At 40.1% G+C, this 27,502-nt stretch overlaps 1 protein-coding gene and 1 pseudogene across 3 annotated transcripts in view; one reads left to right on the top strand and one right to left on the bottom strand.

Moving 5' to 3' along the window:
• Window positions 1–27,502, top strand: part of SCN11A (sodium voltage-gated channel alpha subunit 11) — a 206,181-nt gene that overhangs the window by 16,157 nt on the left and 162,522 nt on the right. For all 3 annotated transcript variants that reach the window (NR_164473.1, NM_001349253.2, XM_047447378.1), the window contains exon 2: window positions 3,285–3,408. The gene's annotated coding sequence lies outside the window, so the exon portion shown is untranslated. The remainder of the gene's footprint in view (window positions 1–3,284; window positions 3,409–27,502) is intronic.
• RNU6-1227P (RNA, U6 small nuclear 1227, pseudogene) lies at window positions 9,695–9,801 on the bottom strand (annotated as a pseudogene).

Genomic DNA, 27,502 nt, shown 5'->3' with positions numbered 1-27,502 from the left:
GGTGCCTGTAGTCCCAGCTACTCGGGAGGCTGAGGCAGGAGAATGGCATGAACCCGGGAGGCGGAGCTTGCAGTGAGCTGAGATTGTGCCACTGCACGCCAGCCTGGGCAACAGAGCGAGACTCCATCTAAAAAAAAAAACCTTCCATGTTGATCAGTACCAGGATCACACCTGTGAATAGCCACTGCACTTCAGCCAGAGCAACATAGGGAGATCCCATCTCTAAAAAAAGAAAAAAGAAAAAATTTTGCCCAGACTAATGTCCTGGAGAGTTTCCTCAATGTTTTCCTTTAGTTGTTTCATAGTTTGAGGTCTTAGATTTAAGTCCTTAATCCATTTTGATTTGATTTTTATATACGGCAAGAGATAGGGGCCTAGTTTCATTCTTTTGCATATGGATATCCAGTTTTCCCAGCACCATTTACTGAAGAGACTGTCCTTTCCCCAGTGTATGTACTTGGCACCTTTATCAAAAGTGAGTTCATTGTAGATGTATGGATTTATTTCTGGATTCTCTATTCTGTTCCCTTGGTCTGTGTGTCTGTTTTTGTGTCAGTACCATACTGTTTTTGTTACTATGGCTCTGTAATATAATTTGAAGTCAGGTAATGTGATTCCTTCAGTTTTGTTCTTTCTGCTTAGGATGGCTTTGGCTATTCTGGGCCTTTCATGGTTCCGTATAAATTTTAGGATTTTTTTTTATTTCTGTGAAGAATGTTATTGTTATTTTCATAGGGATTGCATTGAGTCTGTAGATTGCTTTTGGTGGTATGGACATTTTAACAATATTAATTCTTCCAATCCATGAACATGGTATATCTTTCTATTTTTTGTGTGTCTGCTTCAATTTCCTTTATCAACATTTTATAGTTTTCATTATAGAGATCTTTTACTTTTTTGATTAAGTTTATTCTTGGTTTTTATTTGATTTGTTGTTATTGTAAATAGAATTACCTTCCTTCAGATTGTTCACTATTGACATACAGGAATGCTACTGATTTTTTATGTTGATTTTTATATCCTGCAACTCTACTGAATTTGTTTATCAGTTCTAATAGTTTTTTGATAGAGTCTTTAAGTTTTTCCCAATGTAAGATCATATCTGCAAACAAAGATAATTTGACTTCTTTCTTTCCAATTTGTATGCCTTTTATTTATTTCTCTTACTGGGTTGCTCTAGCTAGGACACTGACTACTATTAAAATATTCAATAACAGTGATGAAAGTGGACATCTTTGTTGTGTTCCAGATCTTCGAGGAAAGACTTTCAGTTCTTCTGCATTTAGTCTGATACTGACATAGGTCTGTTGTATATGGCTTTTACTGTGTTGAGATATGTTCCTTCTATGTCCAGTTCTTTGAGGATTTTTTTTTATCATGAAGGGATGTTGGATTTTATCAAATGCTTTCTCAGCATCAATTGAAATGATCATATGATTTTTGTCCTTTATTCTGTTAATATGTTGTATCACCTTAATTAATTTGTATATGTTGAACCGTCCTTGCATCTCTGGGCTGAATTCCACTTGGTCATAATGAACGATCTTTTTAATGTGCTGATGAATTCTATTTGCTGGTATTTTGTTGCCTCCTGTATAGTTTTTTTGTTTGTTTTGTTTTGTTTTTGAGATGGAGTCTCACTCTGTTGTCCAGGCTGGAATGCAGTGGTGCGATCTCGGCTCACTGCAACCTCCGCCTCCTGGGTGCAAGCAATTCTCCTGCTTCAGCCTCCTGAGTAGCTGGGATTACAGATGCACACCACCATGCCTGCTAATTTTTGTATTTTTAGTAGAAATGGTGTTTCATTATGTTGGCCAGGCTGGTCTCGAACTCCTGACCTTGTGATCTGCCCACCTTGGCCTCCCAAAGTGCTGGGATTACAAGTGTGAGCCACCATGCCCATCCTATACTTTTAATTATCTCTAGATTACTTATACCCAATACAATGTAAATGCTATGTAAATAGTAGTTCTACTATATTGTTTAGGCAATAACAAGAAAAAAACTCTTGAGTTTTTTTCAAATATTTTTTATTTGCAGTTGCTTGAATCCACAGATGTGGAACCCATGGATATTGAGGGCCAGCTGTACTGTGATGTGTTCATATAATCTCTCAGATTCCCTGTGAATGCCTAATGATAGCCATGTGCCATGACCTAAGGAATATTCTCAAGTCAATCTTACACACCTGAAGTTATTCACATGATGTGGTTCAAGTCCTAGGTCAGCCTTTGCCCTTTGAGAATTCACATTATCTCTCCAAGCCCCCAAGGTCTTAACTAATCTGTAAAATAGTAATAACAATGCTTTTCTCACAAGGTACTTCTGAGGTATATTGTAGTTCTGTTCTCTTTGAGTCTCGAATCTTTGTTTTAAGCATTTTTGTGCAATAAAATGTAGATTGTACATGAAAAAAGTTTAACATCTGGAAAGAAACCTCACATGTCTAATAAACAAAAATGTAGTAAATATAAAAAGTAAATATAAAAAGTAAATAAGAGTTTTAGAAGGCTTCTGCTTCCAAACAAACCAGACTTGCTATTGTTAAATCATCCTCTGAAGTTTGATCTTTCTTCTGCCAATTACCTGAGCAAGTTAATTAAGTTTTCTCTCTCTCTCTCTTTTTTTTTTTTTCAAGATGCAACCTCCTTCTGTTACCCAGGCTGGAGTGCAGTGGCGCTATCTCAGCTCACTGCAACCTCCACCTCCCAGGTTCAAGCAATTCTCCTGCCTCAGCCTCCCCAGTAGCTGGGATTACGGGCGCCCGCCACCATAGCTTGGCTAATTTTTGTATTTTTAGTAGAGTCAGGGTTTCGCCATGTTGGCCAGGCTGGTCTCGAACTCCTGACCTCAAGTGATCTGCCCACCTCGGCCTCCCAAAGTGTTGGGATTGTAGGCATGAGCCACTGTGCCTGGCCAGTTTCTCTCATCTTCAATTTCTTTATCTGTAAAATGGTAATAAAAATGGTACCCATTTCATATGGGTCTTCTGAATTCAAATGAGATGATCTTAGCATAGCACTTAGTATGCAGGAAATATTCAATATATTTTAGGTATTATTTTTAATAATCAGCTTGCCCAGGAAACATTGGCAAAGTGTTATAATTTCCTAGAGTCAACTGTCTCATAAGTTTTATGTAATACAGGCTCTATCACTTTTTAAAAATTTTCAAATCAGTTTGAAATTTTCTGTTTTTCTTGCCTCCTCTCTTGCTTTTACAACCTGGAAAAGGTCTTGTGAAATGATAAAGCTTGTTTTTTTTGTTGTTGTTGTTGTTTTCAGATTGTCCCAGTGCTTCGCATGTTTTTGGCTCCATGTTCAATCCATTTGCTGAACACAGTGAAAGTATCCAGTATGTCTTTCCACCGTACCCTAGAGTTGGCATCTTGTTTACCAGAGGGGAGCGGTGAGTGTTTTCATATTTTTTGTTTGTTCAAGAGGAATTAATATATTTTGAAAATATATTTAAAAATGCAACATAATTAGAGCCTTTATTTATAACCACCACTGTCTGTTAGTGATTAATATGTTAATTTGGATATTTTAAAGACAGATTTTTAAAAGAATAGAATAAGACTCATTTAAATAATGCAGAAATGCTAAATAAACTAATTTTTTGAGCAACTGAGTTTATTTTATTGCCCTGCTCCTGACACAGACATCAATCTGTTTTAAACACATCAGTTCTAGAAGTATATTTAGAAGTACAGGGGGAAATGAGCACGTAAGAATCAGTCAGTATTCAGAGATTAATCCACTCCTTTTGTATAACCATTTTTGGTTTTTTTTTGTTTGTTTTTATGTTAGTAAAATGTACTTTTTCTAAGTTTTTCCTTCACTGTAAAATATATCTATCAGTTGGTTAAAGCAGGATGCAAATGTGGTGGGAATTCTGACTTAGCAGGGTTTGGCAAACTTTTTCTGTAAACAAAATAAACTTTTTAATGCAAGCCTATCACGGATATTAATCAGATTCACGGAGAAACTAAGAAGCCGCATAATTTCTTCATAGCCCTTTAATAGTCTTCTTTGAAGAAATAAGGGTGTTATGATATATAATAGACTAGAAGATCATAATTAAATAATTATACAGAAGTAAAGCAAGATTATATAAGTATACATAGAGACTCAGAATGCTTAAAATGTTTAAGTTCAAAGTTGTGTACTATTTTTGTCCTGGCAGAAAGACCTCCATTTTATCTTTCTTTTTCTTTTTCCTTCCTTCTTTGTTTGTTTTTTTTTTGTTTGTTTGTTTTTTGTTTGACAGAATCTCACTCTGTCACCCAGGCTGGAGTGCACTGGTGCAATCTTGGCTCATTGCAACCTCCACCTCCCAGGTTCAAGCTATTCTCCTGCCTCAGCCTCCCAAGTAACTGGGATTATAGTCACATGCCACCACACCCAGCTAATTTTTGTATTTTTAGTAGAGATGGGGTTTCACCGTGTTGGCCAGGCTGGTCTCCAACTTCTGACCTCAAGTGATCCTCCTGCTTTGGCCCGCCAAAGTGTTGGGATTATAGGCAAGCGAGAGCCACCGTGCCTGGCCAAGACCTCGGTTTTAAATACAGTATTTACAATATCCTTTTGAAGTTGTAAGAAGTCATGGTGCTGAATGGTTCATTGTTCAACAGTTCACTTATTTCTGAACACACTGAGAAGAAAACATCCTTCAGTTCTTTTATCTCCTTCTGTCTATATATTTTACGTCCCAATATTAGAGACACATAAACCAGTCCATTTTCCATTTCAAAAATGCTTTGACCTCCATCTAGCTTTCCCACTGGAGGGCAGTAGAGAACCATCCAGGCCATCCTTGATTTGAACTAACTGGCGAATATGACAAGTCAGACTTCAAAATACTTAACACTTAATCCCTACTGATGAAAAGTCATAACCAAAGTATCTTTTCAGGAAACCTATTTTCTCCCATAAAAGTTCTATAATTGATCATGAAAATACATTAAAAGAAATAAAGCAAAATGTGTTTGTAAAGTACTAAGTGGGCAAAATAAAAACAATATAAAAACCATGTCACAAATGTGCTTTGTGTGTGTGTGTGGTAGGATTTTTGTTAGGAGCTGAACTGGCTGAGGCTTCTTAACAATACTAGTCTAAAAACGTGCGCTGGATGTAAATTTTAATCCACAAACTGATGTGTCAAATTGGATGTCGCATTATTAAAAATAAAAATAATTTCAAGCTCTTGGCCAGCTAAAATGATAGAAAACGTAACTTCAGTTACTGTTAAGATTCTTCTGACACTCTAATATACCATAAAGTCACTCATGTATCCCAGGGGTTATATGCCTGGAAGCACCAACAATCCTCAGGCCATAGTGGTTAGGGCTGAGATGCCTTAGGGTGTCAGAAATATGGTCCTGTGGAAGTGGGCGAGCCACTGGTCTTTTCTGCCGTTGAGACTGGGATTTTTTGTTAGGACCGGGAATCCCAGTGCCTAGGGCTGCACTTCCTGAAGAGCTCCAGCCATCACGACCAGGTTCTGTCACCAACCTAGATGTTTTCAGCAGTGGTTACAGGTCTGCCCTCTTTGCAGAGCATCTCCTGCTTTCGCTCACTCCTCCTCTTGCCTCCAAAGAGAATTGGCTTCTCCTCGCCATGCCCCTCCCCACTTAGATTTATAGTTTAAAACTCTTCAGTGAGCTTGAGCTTTCACTAAGGGCAAGACTAGAGATGATCTTTAAGCAGTTTCTGCCTTATGCCCAGGAATATAAACCACTCTTGAGACCAGCAAGCACTGTGGGCTGGCAACCCTCAGCAGATGGTGGAAATGGAAGAAAAATTACACTAAAAACAAAATATACTCTAATGTCTGAACAAATCATCTTGCCACAGAAGCTGGAACTGAAGACAATTCTTTTCCTAGTAATCTCCCTATAGAAAGCACAGGCATTCTTTATGTCTCTAAGCACCTTCAAACTGCATTCAAAATTAGGGTTGTGAATCTGGAATCTTTCTTTGCTAATTGGTTGTACATGAATGCCTGCAGAAGCCTTTGAATGGTAAATATTGTGGGAGGGGCAGTTGCCATGGTGACTGTCCAATGGACCCTTTTTCTTACATTTCAATTAAATCTTCATTGCTGAACTGCTATGAATGAGAAGGTAACAACTCAGTAACATCTGGAAGACAGGAGAAGATGTGAGAGATGCTGTTCCAAATGTAGCTACATTCTAAATGCCCTGAGTTGTACTACGTTTGCCTTGAACCATCTCTTCATGGGTTCCCCTGCCCACTATGTCCTTTCCCACTATGGGAAAATCTGTTTGGAACACACATGACAGTGAGCCAATTTCCCTAATAATACAAGAAGTGTTTACAAGTTAATATGAAAAATACCAAAAGCACAATAGGAAAAAATGGGCAAAAGATATGTACAGGCATCTCATAGTAAAAGAAAATAAGTGGTTTTAAATTGCATAAAAATATATTTAACTTCATTTATAATCAAGAAAATACATATTTATATAGATATAATTTTTTACCTATTACATTGGAAAAGGTTTAAAAGTTTAATAAGGTACTGTGTTCAGAGGATGTGGAAAAACCATCTTTTTTTACACTTAGATTGGGAGGGTAAATTGGTATAACCCCTTCAGAGAGTGACTTAGCTCTTTTTCTAGAAATTTACCTACCGGTATATTAACAGTTGACTTAAAAACACAGGTAAAGGGATATTTATTAAAGCATTATTGAAGTAAATGACCATGACAGATTAAATGAATTGTTGATACATCCATAAAGATGCATCCAGACAGTTACTGATACTGCCACGCATAGGCAGTTACTAATGGCTTGAATATGACTTGTCCCCTATAAAACTCATGTTGCAATTTGATTCCCAATGTAATGATGTTGAAAAGTCGTGGGAACTTTATGAAGTGTTTGGGTCATGAGGGCTTTGCCTTCATGAAGACATTAATGCTGCTCTCATGGGACTGGGTTAGTTCTCGATGGGGAGTTCTTGCTCCAACGGGACTGGATTAGTTACCATGAGAGCAGATTGTTATAACACAAGGCCACCCCTCATGTTTTGTCTTTTTTGCACACTCTTGCTCTCTTGCCATGTGATGCCATTTGCCAAGTTATGATGCAGTACAAAGCTCTTGCCAGAAGCTGTCATCATGCCCTTGCACTTCTCAGTCTCCAGAACTGTGAGCCAAATAAACTTCCTTTCTTTATAAATTACCCAGTCCCAGGCATTCTGTTATAACAACAGAAAACAGGACAAGACAGCAGTTAAAGAATGGTATGGCATGAGTGTTTATTGTCTCAGTTTGACCTGAAGTAGAAACATAATTAATATAAAATCTCAAATAGGTTTAAGACGGATCCTATGTGCCAATTGACAAATGAAATATCCCTGAGAACTAGTTATAAGCATCTAGCAGGTTTAAGGATATTAACAGTGTCAGAACATGGGAAGAGGGGTTAAACTATTTCTTTGGAAAAAATCTGTACTATGAACTCTATCCCTTCTCCGCCAAGGGGATGTATGCTGTGATCTGAAATATAATGAGGTAGATCTTCAGTGAGAGCATCTGAGAGCTTGGTAAGTGACCAGATGGGTGGTCTGGGGTGTAACCCTCCAAAATCTAGAGGGCTAGAGATGGGCCAACTAGTTGTTTTGGTGGTAGAGCCACAAGAGTGCTAGTTGACAGACTGTACTCCCACAGTTTTTTATTTGGGAGGGGGTAGGGGTTTGATGAGGGTTTTCTGTAGACTAGATGGATGTGTGGGAGATGGGAGAAAAATCCAGGCTGAACTGAATTAAGTCCCACTCAAGAGGACCACCTGGGAGGTGAGAAAGAAGTCTTCAACTATGAAAAATGTGTGGGTGCATCACCATGACCCAGGGCTGAGAGGGATGCAGCTAGTCCAAGGAGCAGAATATGTCACCTCTTCAGGAGACTTGAAGCTGGGTCACAGAGCTGGGGCTCCCAGAAGTGCCCAAGAAAGCTCTAGAAGGTAAAATGCCAGCTTTAATCATCTGCTAGTTCCAGAGAAGCCACCAGCTAAGGAAGAACTCTCCTACCTCCTTACTTCTCAAATCCTTGCTTCAACCTTGGTAGTATCTGAAATAGCAGCTGTGAATGTGGGGTAAACAGCCTCCCCAGTCGGGTTTGTGAGATGTTTTAAGGGATAGGGGCAGTGATAGTTTTAAGGGGCTAAACTTTCAGAAGCCGAGTGTTTATTCCTAAAGTTCATTTGCTTGAGAAATTTGCCCACAGCTGAGTGCCAATGCTGGTCCTTCTTTTCTTACCTACACTTTCGAGCTGAGCTTCCAATTTACAAAAGAAAGTCATATGTTCTGAATCTCACTATCATGCACTGACCCCTGGGCAACAAGCAGGGATTTTTGAAAAACTGGTGTCAACCTTGAGTAAGTGAATGACCCCCAAAACCCAGTAACAATCCTTTTGCAAATCTCGTGGTTTAATAAAACTGAAGGAGGATCTATCCTGCCAGATGAGGCCCTTTATGGTTGCCACTGGCTTTGCAAGCATGACTTAAGTAAGGAATAGTCTTTATTGAGTAAAGGAAAATCCCCCATGCCAAGGTAAACAAGACAGGGATGTTCAATGTCCCTCATTCTACCCATCTTTCCATGTGAGTTGTTTCTAGGGCCAGGGCTTCTGCTGGACATTTTTTTTTTCTAGTAGAGTGACCCATTCCTGGAAGTGGCCTCCATGGGAGGAAGTGGCATCAGGCAGTCTTGATTTGGAGGGCCAGCTGTTTTCAGAAGTTGTCTAGGAAAGTTAGCTCTCCTACCCCTGGGGGCTTTAGGGACATCTAGAGCGACAGACTCTCTCTGACTTAACACTAATAAGGCTCTTCTAAGCCCTGAAGACCCAGACCATGGGCTCTGTCCTTGGCTTGCTTATTCTGCTTTCAGAAAGAATCCTGCTGAGTTAGTGTCACTAGAATCCCCCACCCTTGGTATCTGACCACCCTTGATATCTGATGAAATTCCTCAACCCCTCTCCCTCAGTATCTTCTTATCCTGGCTGCCTTCAGCTAGAAGCTGAGTCAGTTTAGAATCCCTCTTATTGCTGATGTTCCCTTTTAGTAATTTCCATCCACTGACCTCACCCTGCACCTTGGCCATAATTTCCCACTTGTCCTTGTATTCAGAAGGGAGCCCATTCTAAACTGAGGTCTCTCTTTCCCTATTGCAATAGCTCCTGAATAAAATTTGTCTTCACTGCTTTAACTTCTGTCTGGCCCTGGTTTTCCTTGACAGAGGTCTGCAGGATGTTAAAGGCCCTTTACCCGGGAGAAAATCACTGGTATCATGGGAAGTTGGACTTAAAGGTTTTCATCATGATGGGAAAAGGGAGAACTCCCACGACCCGGCGAGGTTGTAGTTCAGATAATTCGTGGTGAGCAAATGAGTTGTTTAGAAGACATTTCTAAATTATATCCCAGGTAGAGAACAGTGAACACATCTTAAGTATAGAGCTTAATGAATTTTCAGAAAGTGAACCTTCACACATAAAAAAGAACACAGGATTATTTTAAAGATAAATATCTGCCTTGTATATGACTTGTCAGCTGAGAAATCATTGCAGACAATCTAATGACAGATCAGTATGTGATATTTAAGGTTGAAAGGATTTTCTTCTATGTTTTTTTAAAGTTTTATTTTATTTTTAATTGACACATAATGTAATAAAAATATGGAACACTTCATGAATTTGCGTGTTATTCTTGTGCAGGGGTCATGTTAATCTTCTCTGTATCATTCTAATTTTAGTATATGTGCTGCTGAAGCAAGTACTCTTTTAAGTATTTTTGTCAACAAAAATACTGCTTTAGTTATAAAAATACTTAGTGCATTAGGTATAAAAGAAAGAAATAATAGCAATAGAACTGTCAGAAGCGTTTGAACCAGAGAAACTTCATCTTGAATTGGGGAGGAGTAAAATAAGGCTGAGACCTACTAGGCTGCACTCCCAGGAGGTTAAGCATTCTTAGTCACAGGATGAGTTAGGAGGTTGGCACAACATACAGGTCATGAAGACCTTGCTGATAAAACAGGCTGTGGTAAAGAAGCCAGCCAAAACCCACCAAAACTAAGGAGGCGATGAAAGTGACCTCTGGTTGTCCTCACTGCTCCTTACACACTAATTATAATGCATTAACATGCTAGAAGACACTCCCACCAGCGCCATGACAGTTTACAAATGCCATGGCAATGCCAGGAAGTTACCCTATATGGTCTAAAACAGGGAGGAACCCTTAGTTCCAGGAATTTCCCATCCCTTTCCAGGAAAATTCATGAATAATCCACCGCTTGTTTAGCATATAATCAAGAAGTAACAATAACTATAACCAGCTGCGCGTCCTGTGCTGTTCCTCTGTCTAGGGAGTAGCCATTCTTTTATTCCTTTACTTTCTTAATAAACTTGCTTTCACTTCCCTCTATGGGCTTGCTCCAAACCCTTTCTTGTGTGAGATAGAAGAACCCTCTCTGAGGGCAATTTGGCATGCTGAGTACTTTGAACTAAAGGAGACTGGAAGGTCTCAGAAGCAGCCTCAGAACCAAGGTCTCTCTGACCTCCTGCTCTCCTGTCTCCCACCCCTCCTCTCTTGAAGTAAGTCAGGAACAAGAATTGCTCTTCCCCAGGGGTTAAGGGGGGCTCTTAGAAGCTAGAACTCCCTTTATCCAAAGCAAGCTGTTACTCCAAACTTCCTCCAACCTTTCTGTCTAAGAGCTCGTGCAGAGGCCAGGGGGTTTCACTTGGCGCTTTGAGGGTTTGCTGAAAAACCAACTTGGAAAAGGCAGATTAACTGGAGAAAAGGCATACAAATTTATGTAATGTGTATATACAGGAGCCTTCAGAAGGAAGACCCAAAGATACAGGGGAAATTGTCCATTTTCATGCTTAGGTTCAAAAAAGTATGGACAGCCCTGTAGAAATGTGATTGGACAGAAAGGGTATGATCTAATGCTAATAGACTGGGGATATCCAGCAAGGCCTGTCTGTCTAAACTCTTCTGGCCCTCTCTGAGCATGCATTCCTTCCTTCTGGGTATGGGGCAGGACCCTTTCTGAAATGGGAGTCTTATGACTTACAGTCAAACAAGGAAGATCAGATAACTTTTTTTATGGCCAGTTTTACACAGAAAGGTAGAGGAAAAGTTAGAGTATTATGTTCTGGTTTTATGACTGGCTTTGGGGTAAAGGGGTTCTGGTTTCTGTGACCTGCCTTGGGGAACAGGGATTCTAGTTTGTATGGCTAGTCTCAGGGGAGAAACTTTTTCTCTTAAGGCTGCTTCTGAGGCCTTCATTTTGGGATATTGTTTTCTGAGCCCCAACACTGGCCATAAAGATGTTCTCTGATCTGCCCTTGCCTGATAGTAGGTCATAAGACCTAACCTCATTCCAAAGGGTCCTGCCCCATACCCAGGAGGAATAAATGCTACAACAGAGAGGCCAAGAAGATTCTGAACAGACAGGCCTTCTTGGGCTTCCCCAGTCTATCTGCTACTATTAGGTCATACCCTTTTGTCTAATCACATTTCTACATGGCTATCCATTCTTCATCGAACCTAAACATAAAAACAAACGATTTTCCCTGAGTCCCTGGGTCTTCATTTCTGAAGCATGTAAAACTTTGACTAAATGAATCTGTTATGTTCTTCTCTTGTTAACCTGTCTTTTGTTATAGGAGTATCTGCAGTGACACTTGTGATGGGGAGGACAGGTATCACACCTTTTGGTCCCTACAGTTTATATACATAGTCACTACTCCTCCATGGAGACAGAAAAAACTGGTGATTGGGAAGGGGGACTGAAAGGACTGAAAGTTGGGGATCTTGGCCAGGCACAGTGGCTAATGCCTGTAATCCTAGCACTTTGGGAGGCCAAGGCGGGCAGATCACCTGAGGTCAGGAGTTTGAGACCAGCCTGGCCAACATGGTAAAACCCTGCCTCTACTAAAAATACAAAAATTAGCCAGGCGTGGTGGCAGGTGCCTGTAGTCCCAGCTACTTGAGAGGCTGAGGCAGGAGAATCGCTTGAACCCGGGAGGCAGAGGTTGCAGTGAGCCGAGATCATGCCACTGCACTCCAGCCTGGGTGACAGAGCAAGACTCTGTCTCAAAAAAAAAAAAAGAAAGTTGGGGATCTGAGGTGAAAGGCAAGTCTATTTTTCATCATCTACCTTTATATTCTGCTTGATTTTTTCTTTGCTTTTGCCATAAGCATATATTATTTTTAAAGAGAAAAGGGTATTTTTTATAAACCTACTTTGACAAATAATAAAGCAATAAAAGATATAAAGGAAGCATTGCAGAAAATACAAATAGAAATGAATAGAAATATAAAAGTCATGGAAGGAGAACCCTCAAAAAAACCCTTTCAGGTTTTGACAATTGAGCAGACAAAAAATAAGTAAGGGTATGAATAGCAGTTCTCAATATAGGCTGTATATGAAGAACAATTTAGAAGTTTCTTTTTAAATGCTTTTTTATTATGGAAACTTCAAACATATGCAAAAGTAATAGACTAACCAAATGAGCCCACATGGTCCACCACCTAGCATCAACCATTATCAATTCATGACCAGCTGTGTCCCCATCCAGTTTCCCCCTTTCCAGATTATATTGAAGCAAATCGCAGAAATCATATTGCTTGATCTATAAACATTTCTTCCAGTCAGTATCTCTAAAATGTAAGGACTCCTTTTAAAAAGCATAACCACAATACCCTTATCACTTTTTAAAAATTAAAAATTTGTAAGCATAATATCATTATCACACTTAAAAAATAACAGTAATTCCTTAACTTCATCGAAAATTTAGTGTTAAAGTTTCCAATTGTTGCACAAATGCCATTATTTAATAGCTGTGTTTATTTTATTTTATTTATTTATTTTTTTTTTGAGACAGGGTCTTGCTCTGTCACCCAGGCTGGAGTGCAATGGCATGATCAGGGCTCACTGCAACCTCTGCATCCTGAGCTCAAAATCTTCTTGCCTCAGCCTCCCAAGTAGCTGGGACTACAGGCATGCACCACCGTGCCTGGCTTATTGTATTTTTCTTGTAGGGACAAGGTTTTGCCATGTTGCCCAGGCTGGTCTCAAACTCCTGGACTCAAGCAATCCACCAGCCTCAGTTTCCCAAAGTGCTGGGATTACAGGTGTGAGCCACTGCCCCTGGCAAGAAAAACTGTGTTTAACTCAGGATCTGAGTAAGGTCTACACATTTTGATTGGTTGATGTGTCTCACAAGTCTCTTATTGTAATCTATACTTTACCTAGGAAGTGTCAACTGAAGAAAGATAAGGTTCATAAATGTGGGAAGGAAAGCTTTATGTCTCATAAAGGGTTGCAGCCTGCAGGATGGCCATTCTGACAGGCTGGGAAGCACAGCCTCCAGTAAGAAGCCAGAAACAGACACTTCAAGGGAGGGGCAAAGGGAGCAGAAATTTATGTGTAGCACAGTGGCCAAATATACATATTTATTAAGCTATAGGAAAAGTCATGAATATTTATGAAAGGAGAAACATGCACATGCACAATTGAGCTTCACGCCTCTCCATGAGTCCCAGGGACAAAACATAGCAATGTCAGCATGATCTGAGGGTGGAGTTTTTGGCCCTCTGATATCAAAAGGTGAAGCAGAGGACACACAAACCATTACTGTGCCTTCTCCTTAGACAGGCCAGAACTACTCCAGTGGTGATCTCTTATCAGGGAAAAAAGGAGGGGCAGCCTTAGGCACTTGGTTGATTGATATCTGTGGTGGAGTCTTTTGAAAGGGCTGGTTTCTGCTAAGCCCTGAGGGAAGAAAGCCTAATCATGGTTAGTCAGGGAGGGGGTATAACAAGGTGTGTCTGAACCCCCGATCCCATCATGGCCAATAACTCAGTTTTCAAGATTATGCTGGGGACTCCTTGGCCAAGCAGTCAGTTGAGGGGCTTAGAATTTTATTTTTAGTTTACAGAAGCTTCTAGAAAATGTTGTTCAGGCTCCATCCAGACAACATTGAATTTTACCTGAGTCGTATCATTGTGGAAAAAAGAAACAGTTAAGAATCCTTCCCTTGCCCACCCATTTTGTGTTCTGGAAAAGGCCCATTGCAAAGAACCATCCTTTCCCACATGACTTAGGTGGGACTCAGAACAAATGCCTGTTAACCAAACTTCGGTTAAGATTCTCTCCTTCACTCAGGTCCCCACAACATCTTCTTAGCAGCCCCTCAAGAATAGGCTGGCCTCAGAGCAAACCATTCTCTGATCTGTTATTCCATCAGGCCACCTTTTCATCCCAGTTCCCCACACCAGGGTCTTTCTTGTCTTGTTTACTCCTCTCTATAAAAGAAATCCCTTTTTGGCCTTGAGAGCTGTCAAAATCATTAATAGGGAGGCCATTAGGCTAATACAGCTCCAGCACCTTGAGTTCCTAAGCAAACTAAAACCCAACTCAATGTAAACAATAAAGCAAAACTTAAGCTTAACCAATCAGAAACTGCCAACTAACCTCTACCTAGAGACTTCACCAATCAGAAATGGCCAACTAACCTCTAACTAGGGATTTTCCATTTTAACCAAGCAAATATTTAATTTGCCTTACTTCTATGAACACCTTCAAAAAGTTTCCCTTACCTTCTTGGTGGAGCGCTAAACCACCTGTGGTCTGGTACTGCCCCATCCACAAATAGCTGAATGCTCAAATAAACTTATTAAAATTTTAATGTGCATAAGCTTATTTTTTTTTTTAACAGATCTTATGGTCAGAAGGTTCTCTCTGTTGTAATAGCTCTTCTCTCACTATTGCAATAGTTCCTCCCCACTCCCCTTTGCAATATTTTTTTTTGAATAAAGTCTTTCCTTACTAAATCTGGATTTGTTTTTTATTTCACCATTCCCAGAAATTTTGATGCATTCTCCAGTTGATTATAATATGAAATGAGAATTGAGAGCCACTGCTTAGAGGATGTGAACAGTGCATTTGCTAGGACAATCTAATACATATACATATCTGTGTTAGTGTGTGTTCCTACAGAAAGCAGATTTAGGAGGTAATCTCAGGAAGCCCAAGAGAAAGAGCAGGAACTGTGAGACAGGAAGAGGAAAAAGCCCATCCAGGGTGCATAAAAAATGAGTGGGTTTCTTCTGTGGGTGACCGAAGCTCAGTCTTTTTGGGGATTCTAGGAAGAATATATACAACACACCTTCGATTTTCTCTCTCAAGGGACAGGAAAGCTGGGGTTTGTATCCCTTTTTTCCTGTTCCTCACTGATTGAGAATTATCTCTGAGAGTTTCAAATCTCAAACACTGCTGGACTGCCCTGGAGCACCTTCAGGTAGACAAGCAGAGAAATGTACAGGTTCTTGAGGGAAACTGTCCTGTCGGCACATTGCCCAATGCAGCTTCAGGCAAACTCTGAGGCGGGACAAAGGAATATGGAGTTGGAGATCAGTAACATCCGTTGCAACATTGACCACACCTATTGAGAACATCCTTTTTTATTCTTTCAAGTATCAGTGAGTATCAAAATTTGACCACAAAGAAATCTATAAATTTTCCCAAATAGAAACTTTAATTGAGATTTGTTGAATGCTTACTATGCGCTAAGGCTTCCCAGATACTTATTATCTTTATTTAACTCTTGGGGCAACCATTTGAGATAGGTATTATTATCATCTCCATTGTACAAATGAAGAAATTGAGCCTTAGGTTAAATACTTTGCGCAAAATCATATAGTCAGAAAAAGACAGAGCAGGGATGTAAACCTCAGCCTTCTGACTCAAGCATTCAAACTATTAACCACTATGGGGTCTGCTTCACCACAGCCTTTACTCATAATGTGGAAAAACAAGAAGTTTATAATAACAATGATACAAAATGATCAAACAGTAAATACCCCAACCATTTGGAGATTTAAAAAATTTATCTGATGAGACAATGAAAGCGATGATAAGAAAAACCCTATAAAGTAAAATGTATGGGTTATGGATAAAGTTGTGATAAAAGGGAATATCATTATAAATAAGAAAGTGACATATGAATTAAACATTCTACTCAAAAGTTATGAAAAGAACAAATTAAGCTTTGGAAAATGGAAGTGAGGGATTCATAAAAATAACAGCAGAGTGGACTTTGACTTCAGGTAAAGATGGCATAACAGAAACTGGATTGATCCTCCTGCTGAAACAATGAAAAAATAGACCAAACATGTGAAACTGCAACTGCTCAATGGACTCTTCCTGCCCAGTGCACAAACAAAATCAATTCATGGAGACCATGGCATTGCAGTAAAGAAAGAGTTTAATTGATGTGAGGCCGGCCACGTCACACAGGAGACAGAGTTATTACTCAAGTCAATCTCCCTGAAGGCTCAGAGGTTAGGGGTTTTTCAAAGGTAGTTTGGGGAAAGGGGTAGTAGTGCTTGCTGGTAATTGGTTGGAGGTGCAATCAAAAGGGTGTGGGAAATGATTCTCCTGAGCACTGAGTCACTTCTGGGTGGGGTCACAGGAGTGGTTGGTGGGTCCAGGTACAGCCATCCATTATCGGACATGCAAAAAAACTGAAAAGATATCTCAAAAGGCCAATCTTAGGTTCTATAATATTAATGTTATCTGCAGGAATAATTGGGGAAGTTGCATATCTTGTGACCTCCAGAATAATGGCTGGCAATTGTTTATGTCTACACCTTAGCAGAATTCAGGCTTCTCTATCCTCCTAGCCTGGTGGTCTCTCATTAGCTTTACAAAGATGGTTGAATTTTGGGGAAGGGTTATTATCATGTAAATTATGAACTATATTTCTCCCAAAGTTAGCTTGCTTAAGCCTAGGAGGGCAGCTTGAAGGCTAAAGGCAAAAGAAAGAGCATTTGGCTAGATCAGATCTCCCCCACTGCCATAACTTTATCACTGTTATATAATTTTTGCAAATGCAGTTTCAAAACAATGATTTATTTATTTATTTATTTATTTTTGAGACAGTGTCTTGCTCTGTCACCCAGGCTGGAGTGCAGTGGCGCCATCTCGGCTCACTGCAAGCTCTGCCTCCCGGGTTCACGCCGTTCTCCTGCCTCAGCCTCCCAAGTAGCTGGGACTACAGGTGCCCGCCACCACACCTGGCTAATTTTTTGTATTTTTAATAGAGACAGGATTTCACCATGTTAGCCAGGCTGGTCTTGATCTCCTGACCTCATGATCCACCCACCTCAGCCTCCAAAAGTGCTGGGATTACAGGCTTGAGCCACCGCGCCTGGCCCAAAACAATGATTTTTTAAAGACACTCAACATCAAACAACAAAAGACAGTTTCCTTAACAGGAAACAAAGGAGGTGAACCCTATCTTGAGAGAGCTTCCAGGTCTTAGAACAGGAAGGGGAACCCAGCAGAGTACAGTAGCTTCCTTGAGTTGAGGAGAAGTAGCTGAGAGTCTGAAGGAGAATAAAAACACCCGGAGTTTTCAGGACAGACAACCAACAAGGAAAGAACTGCACACAGAAAGAAACCCAGAGATCTGTAGAGAGTTCTTTTCTAGTATTTGGCAGAGTACTGATCAGTGCATGTGTGTGAAGAATCAACCTGAGGTCAGGAAAAGAAGTTTCTAAAAAGATTAGAAGTAACAGTGCCCAGGGTTCACAAAAAGCCAGGAATAGTGGCCCAATTTCACCAGCCAGGGCACTGGGTAGTCCCTGTGGAAGAGTCTTGCCTTAATAATGGGAAATAATTAGCCCCCAAATGAATGCTGTTGCAGTTTTACCTAACAAATCTTAAAAGTAAGACCACAAAGAAACAAAACTCTTTCCAAATAAATTAATGGTGTTCCAGAACAAAGTTTAAGAATATTTATAGGAATACAAAATACCCACACCTAACAAGTAAATTTCACTATATCTGCCACCCAACAAAAATTGCCAGGCATGCAAAGGAGTAGGAAAATATGACCCATAATAAGGAGATAAATTGTTCAATCAAAACCACGCAGAAGTGCCATAGGTATTATAATTAGTAGGACATTAAAACAGTTGTAACTATATGCATATGTTCACAAAGTTGAGTAGAGATATAAAAGATGTAAAAAAAAAGACATAGAACTTCTACATGAAAACTGTAATAAAAGTGAACTGCAGGACAACTTCAAACAATACAGTTGGAGCTTCCAAAAGAGAGGAAAGAGAGAGAGAGACAGAAAAAATACTTGAAAAAATAATGGTTGAAATTTTCCCAAATTTGATGGAAACTATATAGATCCAAGAACCTCAGAAAATACTCAAGTACAGAAACATAAAGAAAACAACTCTAAGGCACATCATAAAACTGGTGATAAAGAGAAGCTCTTAAAAGCAGCCAGAGAGAATAAAAGGCATTACAGAAAAGCAAGGATGAGGATGACTTTAGATTTCTTGTTCGAAACAATGTAAGTGAGAAAATAGTTGCCTTGGTCAGCTTGGGCTGCTGTAACAAATTACCATAGACTAGGTGGCATAAACAACAAACATTCATTTTTCAGGGTTCTGGAGACTGAAAAGTCCAAGAGCAAGATGCAGGCAGACTTGATGTCTGATGAGAGCTCACTTTCTGGTTTGCAGAAGGCCATCATTTTTATTGTGTTCTCACATGGCAGAGAGCAGAGAGAGAAGAAGCAAGCTCTCTTGTGTATTTTTATAAGATCTCTAATTTCATTCCTGAGGGCTCCACTCTCATGATATAATTACCTCCCAAAAGCTCCACTTCCCAATATCAACAACACGGGGTGTTAGGATTTCAACATATGAATTTGAGGGGAACACAGTCAGTTCAAGCACTAGTGAAGCAACATTTTTAAAGTGCTAAAATAAAAATACTATCAACTTATAATTTTATAACCAATAAAAATATCTTTTAAAAATGAAGGCTGGCTGGGCACAGTGGCTCACACCTGTAATCCCAGCACTGTGAAAGGCTGAAATGGGTGGATCGCCTGAGGTCAGGAGTTTGAGACCAGCCTGGCCAACATGGTGAAACCCTGTCTCTACCAAAAATACAAAAATTAGCCTGGCATGTTGGTGTGTGCCTGTAATCCCAGCTACTTGGGAGGCTGAGGCGGAAGAATTGTTTGAACCCAGGAGGTGGAGGTTGCAGTGAGCCAAGATCTCACCACTGCACTCCAGCCTGGCGACAAGAGTAAGACTCCATCTCAAAAAATAAATAAATAAAGTTAAGTAAATAAATAAATAAAAATGAAGGCAAAATAAATATGTTCCAAACTTAACAAAGGCTGAAAGCATTTATCACTACTACATGATGCACTATAAGAACTATTAAAGGATGTCTTTCAGGCCATAGGAAAATGATGCCAGGTGGAAACATGGATCTACACAAAGGAATAAACATCAGAAATTGAATTGTTTTCAGTGCCTTAGTTTGTATGCACATGCTTGAGCTGACAGGGTGTTTCAGGCAATACCTCATACTTGCAACTTTCTCTGGGGGATCACCCCTGAACAACTAAAGCCATCTTACCCCAGATACCTGAGAATTTTACTGCCTTCCCTACCCTGGCAGCCCATGGCCAATGACCATCTGCAATGGGGGTACTAAAGCCCCTTTCCTTGCCTCAAAGTGGGACAGATTCTGTGGCACAATTTATACTTCAAAGTTCCCTGTGGGATCAGGTGAAGCTAGACTTCACTTTAACCCACATTCTTACATAGCTCCTTTTCCTTCCCTACCCTGCTTCTCTCATTCCCTTATCAGTTTCTCCTGATAGCGCCTTAAAAATATATCACATCTAGTGGCTCATGCTTGTAATCCAAGCATTTTGGGAGGCTGAGTTTGGCGGATCACTTGAGGTCAGAAGTTCGAGACCAGCCTGGCCAAAATGGTGAAACCATGTCTCTACTAAAAATACAAAAATTAGCCGGGCATGGTGGTGAGTGTCTGTAATCCCAGCTACTTGGGAGGCTGAGGCAGGAGAATTGCTTGAGCCCGGGAGGCGGAGTTTGCAGTGACCCGAGACCACGCCACTGCACTCCAGCCTGGGAGTCAGAGCAAGACTCTGTCTCAAAAAATATATATGTCACATCTTTCCTGTGATGACCAAAACAATCCAGTGCTCAGTAACCCTTTTCAGTGTAGTCACTGTCTCTATGAGAAATAAATAAACATCTATTTGTTTAAGCCACTGGAAAAAATTTTGCATATATATGAACCTCTGTTTCAGGCTCTGCTTCTGGGAAACCTGAATTAGGAGAGGCACAGAGTATACAAATGTTTGTATCCAATGTAAATACTGAGCAGATGGCATTAACATCAGTGGAGCTTCACAATAATCAAGCTTCAAGATGATCATCCTATGGCCATAAGTCAGTCTCTTTTTTCAGTCGTTCTGTGCTTACTCAGTGGGTTTGTGTATAGAAACCCAAAGTGGTTGTCTTAGTCCATTTGTGCTCCTATAACAGAATACCTGAGACTGGGTAATTTATAATGAGTGGAAGTTTATTGGCTCACTGTTCTGGAGGCTGAAAAGTCCAAGATCAAGAGGCTGGCATCTGTCAAGGGCTTTCTTACTATGCTATCACATGGAAGAAAGTAGAAGGGCAAGAAGAGAGCTAGAAGAGGCTAAATTTGCCCTTTTATAACAGCACCAATCACACCCATGAGGGTGGAGGCCTAGTGCCCTGATCTTAATGGCTCTCTCTTCTTAAAGGCTCCACCTCTTAATATTGCTACAATGGCAATTAAATTTTAACATGAGTTGTGGAGAGTAACAAATATTCAAACCATAGCAGTGGCCATGACATCAGAAACATAGGCCATGCCTCAGCTCAACAGCATGGACTTTCCCACACCAAGACTGATTTGGCTGCTGCTGCTGTTGAGTGCACAATATGCCAACAACAAAGGCTGATGATGAGCCCCTCATACTATATCATTTCCTTGGGAGACCAGCCAGCCACCTGATGGTAGATCAATTACACAGAAGCCCTTCCATCATTAAGTGGGCAGCATTTTTATCTCATTGAATTTTTTTTCTGAATATGAATAATTGCTTCTATTCAACTTGCTTTAACTAGCAGCACTATCCATGGATTTATAGGATTCCTATTCACCCCCAAGGTATCCCACACAACATCACTTCCAATCACAGAACTCATTTTACCATAAATAAGTACAGCAAGGGATTCAACTGGTCTTACTATGTGTCCCACCATCCAGAAGCAGCTGGCTTGATAAAAATGGTAGAATGATCTGCTAAAGACTCAATTATGGCAGACATAATTGAGAGACAATACTTTACCAAGTTGGGATATTGTCTTATAGGATGTGTTTTGAGCCAATAATTTATATATGTTTCATTTTCTCTCCTGGCAAGAGCACACTGTTTGGAAACCAAGTGATGGAAATGGGAGGGGCTCCTTTTTACAATTAATAACCTGTTTGCAAGAGTTTGTTGACTTTGTCTGTAACCTTGACTTCTGGTCTAGAAGTCCTAATTCCCAAGAGCAGAATGCTTACATCAGGAGACACAATAGTTCCATTGAATTGGAGGCATTTCTACTCAATGAGGACTGAGAAGACCATGTCTGGAATCACGAATTCCCTGGGGCACCTCTTAATACTTGCATGTTCAGTAGAAAAGGTCAGTGTGGAAGAGGTGGGTAAGAGTGACCACAAAAATTCAGGACGAGTAAGGACTAAAACCCAAAAAGAATGAAGGTGTGGGTCACCTCACTGTGTAAACAATTCCAACCAGCCAAGGTTCTGCTCGAAGGCAAAGGTATTATGGAATGGGTAATGGAAAAAGGATGTGATAAGTATCAACTATGGTTTCATGATCAGATACGAAGCTGAGGACTGAGGCTGCAGTGTTATGTGTATTTAAACCAATAATTCCAAGCCTCTGCCCTTCATCTTTTCCCTGTGGTTTTGCACAAAGACTTTCAATGGTGCTTAACTTTAATTCAATGGCAACCAGGTATGAGAAGATACAGCCAGACCTGCTGTTGCTGCATATCCCTTGGAGATCTTAGATTTGATGTGGACAACATGACAGATGAGATTTTGTGTTTCCCCTTGTTGGGGAGAGAGCAAGAACATCCTTATTTGTTGGACAGATCTTCCGCCTAACATTTTATGTTAGGTAGAAGCATAAGGTTGTTTTATGAGAGTTAAGTATGGGCAGAAAGATTAGAATGGATGCTGAATAGCAAAAAGGGTGGGCTATGCTGATCCTGTGCTTGTTTGTGCCTCTCCCTTTCTTCCTGTGACTTCCTGGGGCTTCCCCGCTGTGGGCTGCATTTTCCAAGATCTTACGTCAGCTGACTTCTGGCTGGGTTCAGCCAATGGGAGGCACTACTGGGAGACTGGAAAAAAAAAAAAAAGGCAGAAGCCAGAGAATTTCTTCCTCTTTTTCTGTGTCCTAGCATCATCTCCAGCAGGGACTGGATCTCCTGCATAGCTCCAACTATGGCATATACAAATTTTATGTATGTGAAAGTTTGTGTGAACTAAGCATGTAAAATGTGTTTTTGGATCACTTAGTTTGTTATACCTGCCAAGAAAAAGGATTGGAAGACACTGTTAATGATGTAATTTGCTAAAGATCATTATCTCTAAGTGGTAGCATTATTGATGACTTTTTTTCATTTGGTTGTTTTTTAAAATAAAAAAGTATGCCACCCTCTCATCTCTGTTAATGCTCTTTGATGAACAGTGCAAACTGTCACCTGGTATTTATTTTCAGGAACCTCTAATAGCAGCTCATCAAGCATTTATCTTGCATTTATAAACTCTAGCTGGAGGTACATTTTTAGCCATCCTCAGTTAAAAAAAATAATTGCAGTAGAAACTGTAGAAATGAACATAAGAAAAAGTCAAAGATGAGCATAATCATTTATTACGTAAGCATTGCTACCTTTTTTCTGCCCACATAGAGATCAGGAAGAGAAAACATCTTAAGTAGAATTTATGAAGCAAGGAAGTTATTGGAAAGGAGCTCAAAGAAAAACTGCTATGGAGTTTTCATGTAAAGAAAATGATCCAGGCCGAGCACAGTGGCTCACGCCTGTAATCCCAGCACTTTGGGAGGCCAAGGCAGGTGAATCACTTGAAGTCAGGAGTTTGAGACCAGCCTGGCCAACATGGTGAAACCCTGTCTCTAATACAAAAATTAGCTGGGTACGGTGGCACATGCCTGTAGTCCCAGCTGCTTGGGAGGCTGAGGCAGGAGAATTGCTTGAACCTGGGAGGTGGAGCCTTCAGTGAGCCAAGATAGCATCACTGCACTCCAGCCTGGGCAACAGAACAAGATTCTGTCAAAAAAAAAAAAAAGAAAGAGAGAAAGAGAGAGAGAAAGAAAGAAAGAGAGAAAGAGAGAGAGAAAGAAAGAAAGAAAGAAAGAGCAAGGAAGGAAGGAAGTAAGGAAGGAGCTGATCCAGTACACCAAGTTTATTCAATCAACAGAATTTCTTTCCTTTTCTTTTTTTCTTTTTGAGATGGAGTTTCACTCTTGTTGCCCAGGCTGGAGTGCAATGGCGTAATCTCGACTCACTGCAACCTCTGCCTCCCAGGTTCAAGCGATTCTCCTGCCTCAGCCTCCCAAGTAGCTGGGATTACAGGCATGAGCCACCATGCCTGGCTAATTTTGTATTTTTAGTAGAGAAGGGGTTTCTCCATGTTGGTCAGTCTGGTCTCGAACTTCCGACCTCAGGTGATCTGCCCGCCTTGGCCTCCCAAAGTGCTGAGATTACAGGCATGAGCCACTGCTCCTGGCCCCAGAATTTCATATTATTTAATTTGTAAATCTCAAAGCCCAAATCAAATATTATTTTTCTTTTCTAAAATGTTTTTATTTATATTTTAAAGATAAGAGAGTTTCCTTGTCCAGATCAGTCTGACCTGTTTTTTGTAATTCAGAATATTATTGGTAGAACATACAATAATTTTTTGACTTAATTGTAATCTGAGTGACTATCAAGTGCACTCCTCTTATTTAACGGGAAATTGAGAGCAAGTGACTTGGTTAGGATGAGACAGAGCAGGGACCATTTTTAGGAACCCGCCGCCCCCAACCTTGGAAATATAGGAAAATCTTGAGCTCCTTCAAGGAGACTTCCAGGCATCTAGCTAGCCTTGAGAAATAAATGAGCAACCTGATAAGCAAAAAGTTAGCTTAAAACAGTAGACTAGGAAGTTAGAACCACAAGATATTTGGTTCCCTATAGAAACTAAAGATAATATCTTATCATATGTCCTTTTTCAGAGTTGTTTTTTCAGAAACCTGGACCTCCACCAAATGGAAAATGCCATCTGCTGGCACGTAGACCTCAGATAAAAGGGAACTGAGGACCAAACTCTGACCACTGTTCTTTGTTCTAAATTTCTTCCTGAGGGCCCTGGAGAAGGACACGCCTGCAGGCCAGAACTTAACATTCCTTTCTGCTGACCCCAAGTTTTTAGGCAAAGCCTTACTTCCTGAACCAATTGCAAATCAGAGAATCTTTGAATCCACCTATGGCCTTTAAGCCCTCACTTAAATATATCCCACCTTTTTAGGCCAAACCAGTGTATAACCTTCATGTATCAATTTATAATTTTGCCTGTAACTTCTACTTTCCTGAAATTTACCCCTGCCTTTAAAAACCCTTTCTGTAAACCATCAGGGAGGTCGGGTCTTAAGCATAGCTGCCTGAGTCTCCTTGCTTGGCACCCTGCAAATAAATGCCCTCCTTTCTCTTGCTGCAAAACCTCAGTGTTAATGTTTGGCTATGCTGTGCCAGACAAGCAGACCCTAGGTTTGGTTCGGCAACAAGGGGAGTAAGTGGCAGAGCTGGAACCACAGTCCGCTCTCTTGATTCTGAATTCACTGTTTCTTATAAATATTAATGGTTCTTCAATGAACAGCAGTTTTTCTTCAAACCACACACACCCCTCCTCAGCAATCCCACCCTTGTTATTCTCTTATGTTCCACCCCCCAGTTCGGAAACATGTATTACAATCTTCCATTTCTCAAATCAAAATTTAAAATCCCAAATTTACTGCAGTGGTCTCTGAATCAGAAAATTTAGCTGCTATCTCATGAATTTATCTATTGTAAAGTCAAGAAAAAAGAAATATTAGGCTGGGCAGGGTGGCTCACGGGCTGGGAGTGGTGGCTCACGCCTGTAATCCCATCACTTTGGGAGGCCGAGGCGGGTGGATCATGAGGTCAGGAGATCAAGACCATCCTGGCTAACACAGTGAAACCCCATCTCTACTAAAAATACAAAAAATTAGCCGGGCATGGTGGCGGGCGCCTGTAGTCCCAGCTACTTGGGAGGCTGAGGCAGGAGAATGGCGTGAACCCATGAGGCGGAGCTTGCAGTGAGCAGAGATGCGCCACTGCACTCCAGCTTGGGGAACAAAGCGAAACTCTGTCTCAAAAAAAAAAAAGAAAAAAGAAAAACTAAAACTTCTGTTTGTACTAATTTTTTTCTATTTTCAGCTTTCATCTTCAACAAAATTATACATAATTAGAGTCAAATAATTCCACAGGACTTGTTGGGAAAATGCCATCTCCCTCTTCATTTCCCCCTTCTAGAGGCCACTACCTCTACTTTTATTTGTGGGTTTTTTAGGATTTATTTTCATATCTCTAAATGACATGCTTATTTTTAAAACCTTCTTTTTAGAATTAGTTATTATCTGTTGACTTCTCACTATGGAAGATGAGAATTTAGCTCTTTTTTGACAACTTCCGTTTAACTAGACTTGCCCCTACTATCTAATATAGTTATGTCATACCTTTGATTAGACAATATCATTTTACGTTAATATGGCTATGTACATGCCCTGGCTGGGCACAGTGGCTCATACCTGTAATTCCAGCACTTTGAGACGCGGAGGTAGGAGGATAGCTTGAGCCCAGGAGTTCAAGATCAGCCTGGGCAACATAATGAGACCCCTATCTTTACCAAAAAAAAAAAAAAAAAAAATTAGCTGAGCGTGATGATGCACACCTGTAGTCCCAGCTACTCAGGAGACTGAGGTGGGAGGATCACTTGAGTTCTAGAGGTCAAGGCTGCAGTGAGCTATAATCATGCTACTGCACTCCAGCCTGGGTGACAAAACAAGACCCTGTCTCAAAAAATGAAAATAAAAAATATTTTTAAAAGACTGTACACACTCTTTTCAGCTGAGCCATCTAGTATGCTATGCTTAGTTTTCCTTTTCTGTTCAACTTTCTATTTTCTCTGGAATTTATAATTGTTTGTTTGCTTTGGTCTACCTAACAAAAATTCAACCTAAACTCTCCATTAGTTTTCTGAATCAGCAATTCTCAAACTTTCTGGTCTCAAGAGCCCTTTCCACTCTTAATATGACGGAGAATCCTAAAGAGCTTTATATATATATGTATATATATAGACACACACATATATATATGCACTTTTTATTTTTGCATGAGCAGGATCAGACGACCAAAGAGCTTTTGATTATATGGGTCATATCCACTACATTTATCATATTTGAAATTAAAACTTACCAATAATAAAATCTATGTATTAATACATGAAAATACTAAATGTATTTTATGTTAACATTTTTCATGAAATGTAACTATGTTTTCTAAAACAAAACAAATATAATAAGAATGATATTATTTTACATATTTTCAAATCTCTTTAATGTTTGGCTTCTTGGAAGACAGCTGACTTCTCATATCTGCTTTTTCATTCAATCTGTTGTAATATCACATGCCATGTAGCCTCTGGAAAACTTTTTTGTATACTTATGAGAGAAGGAGATTGAAAAAGAAAAATAATATCTAGTATTATTACATAAATAGCTTTGACCTTGCAAATTATCTAATAAGGTTTCAGGGACCCCTAGGGCCACTGGACCTGACTTTGGGAATTACTGGTCCAAATATATATACATACTTTTTTTTTTGTTTTTTGAGATGGAGTCTTGCTCTGTTGCCCAGGCTGGAATGCAATGGTACAATCTTGGCTCACTGCAACTCTGCCTCCTGGGTTCAAATTATTCTCCTGTCTCAGCCTCCTGAGTAGCTGGGACTACAGGCACGTGCCACTACACCCACCCTTGTATTTTAGTAGAGATGGGGTTTCACCATGTTGGCCAGGCAGGTCTCAAAGTTCTGACCTCAGGTGATCCACCCACCTCGGCCTCTCAAAGTGCTGGGATTACAGGCATGAGCCACTGCGCCCAGCTCCAAATATATTTAGATGCATTGGATGTTCTAATAATTTAATCTTTTAAAAAGGACTTCCTTCTGGATCTTTCTGACTGCTCCATTTGAAATGGTTTCCCTCTATATCTGGTGCTCAGCAGTTATCCGGGTGTCTCCTTTCACCAAAATCCAGAGGATTCTCTTGATTTCTCTTCTATGCTATATACTCTTCCCATATCCTAAGGCTTCCTCTTTCTTGTTCTGGTGGAATATATCCTGCAGTAGCTTTCTGTGAAATGATGCCTGGGGACACATTTTTTCAGACCTTGCATGTCTGAAAATGACTTTATTCTCCTCTCATA

This window comes from Homo sapiens, chromosome 3, assembly GCF_000001405.40.
Source record: "Homo sapiens chromosome 3, GRCh38.p14 Primary Assembly".
Taxonomy (NCBI): domain Eukaryota; kingdom Metazoa; phylum Chordata; class Mammalia; order Primates; family Hominidae; genus Homo; species Homo sapiens.
Note: the sequence above shows the minus strand (reverse complement) of the source record. Positions and strands in the feature narration are given on the sequence as shown.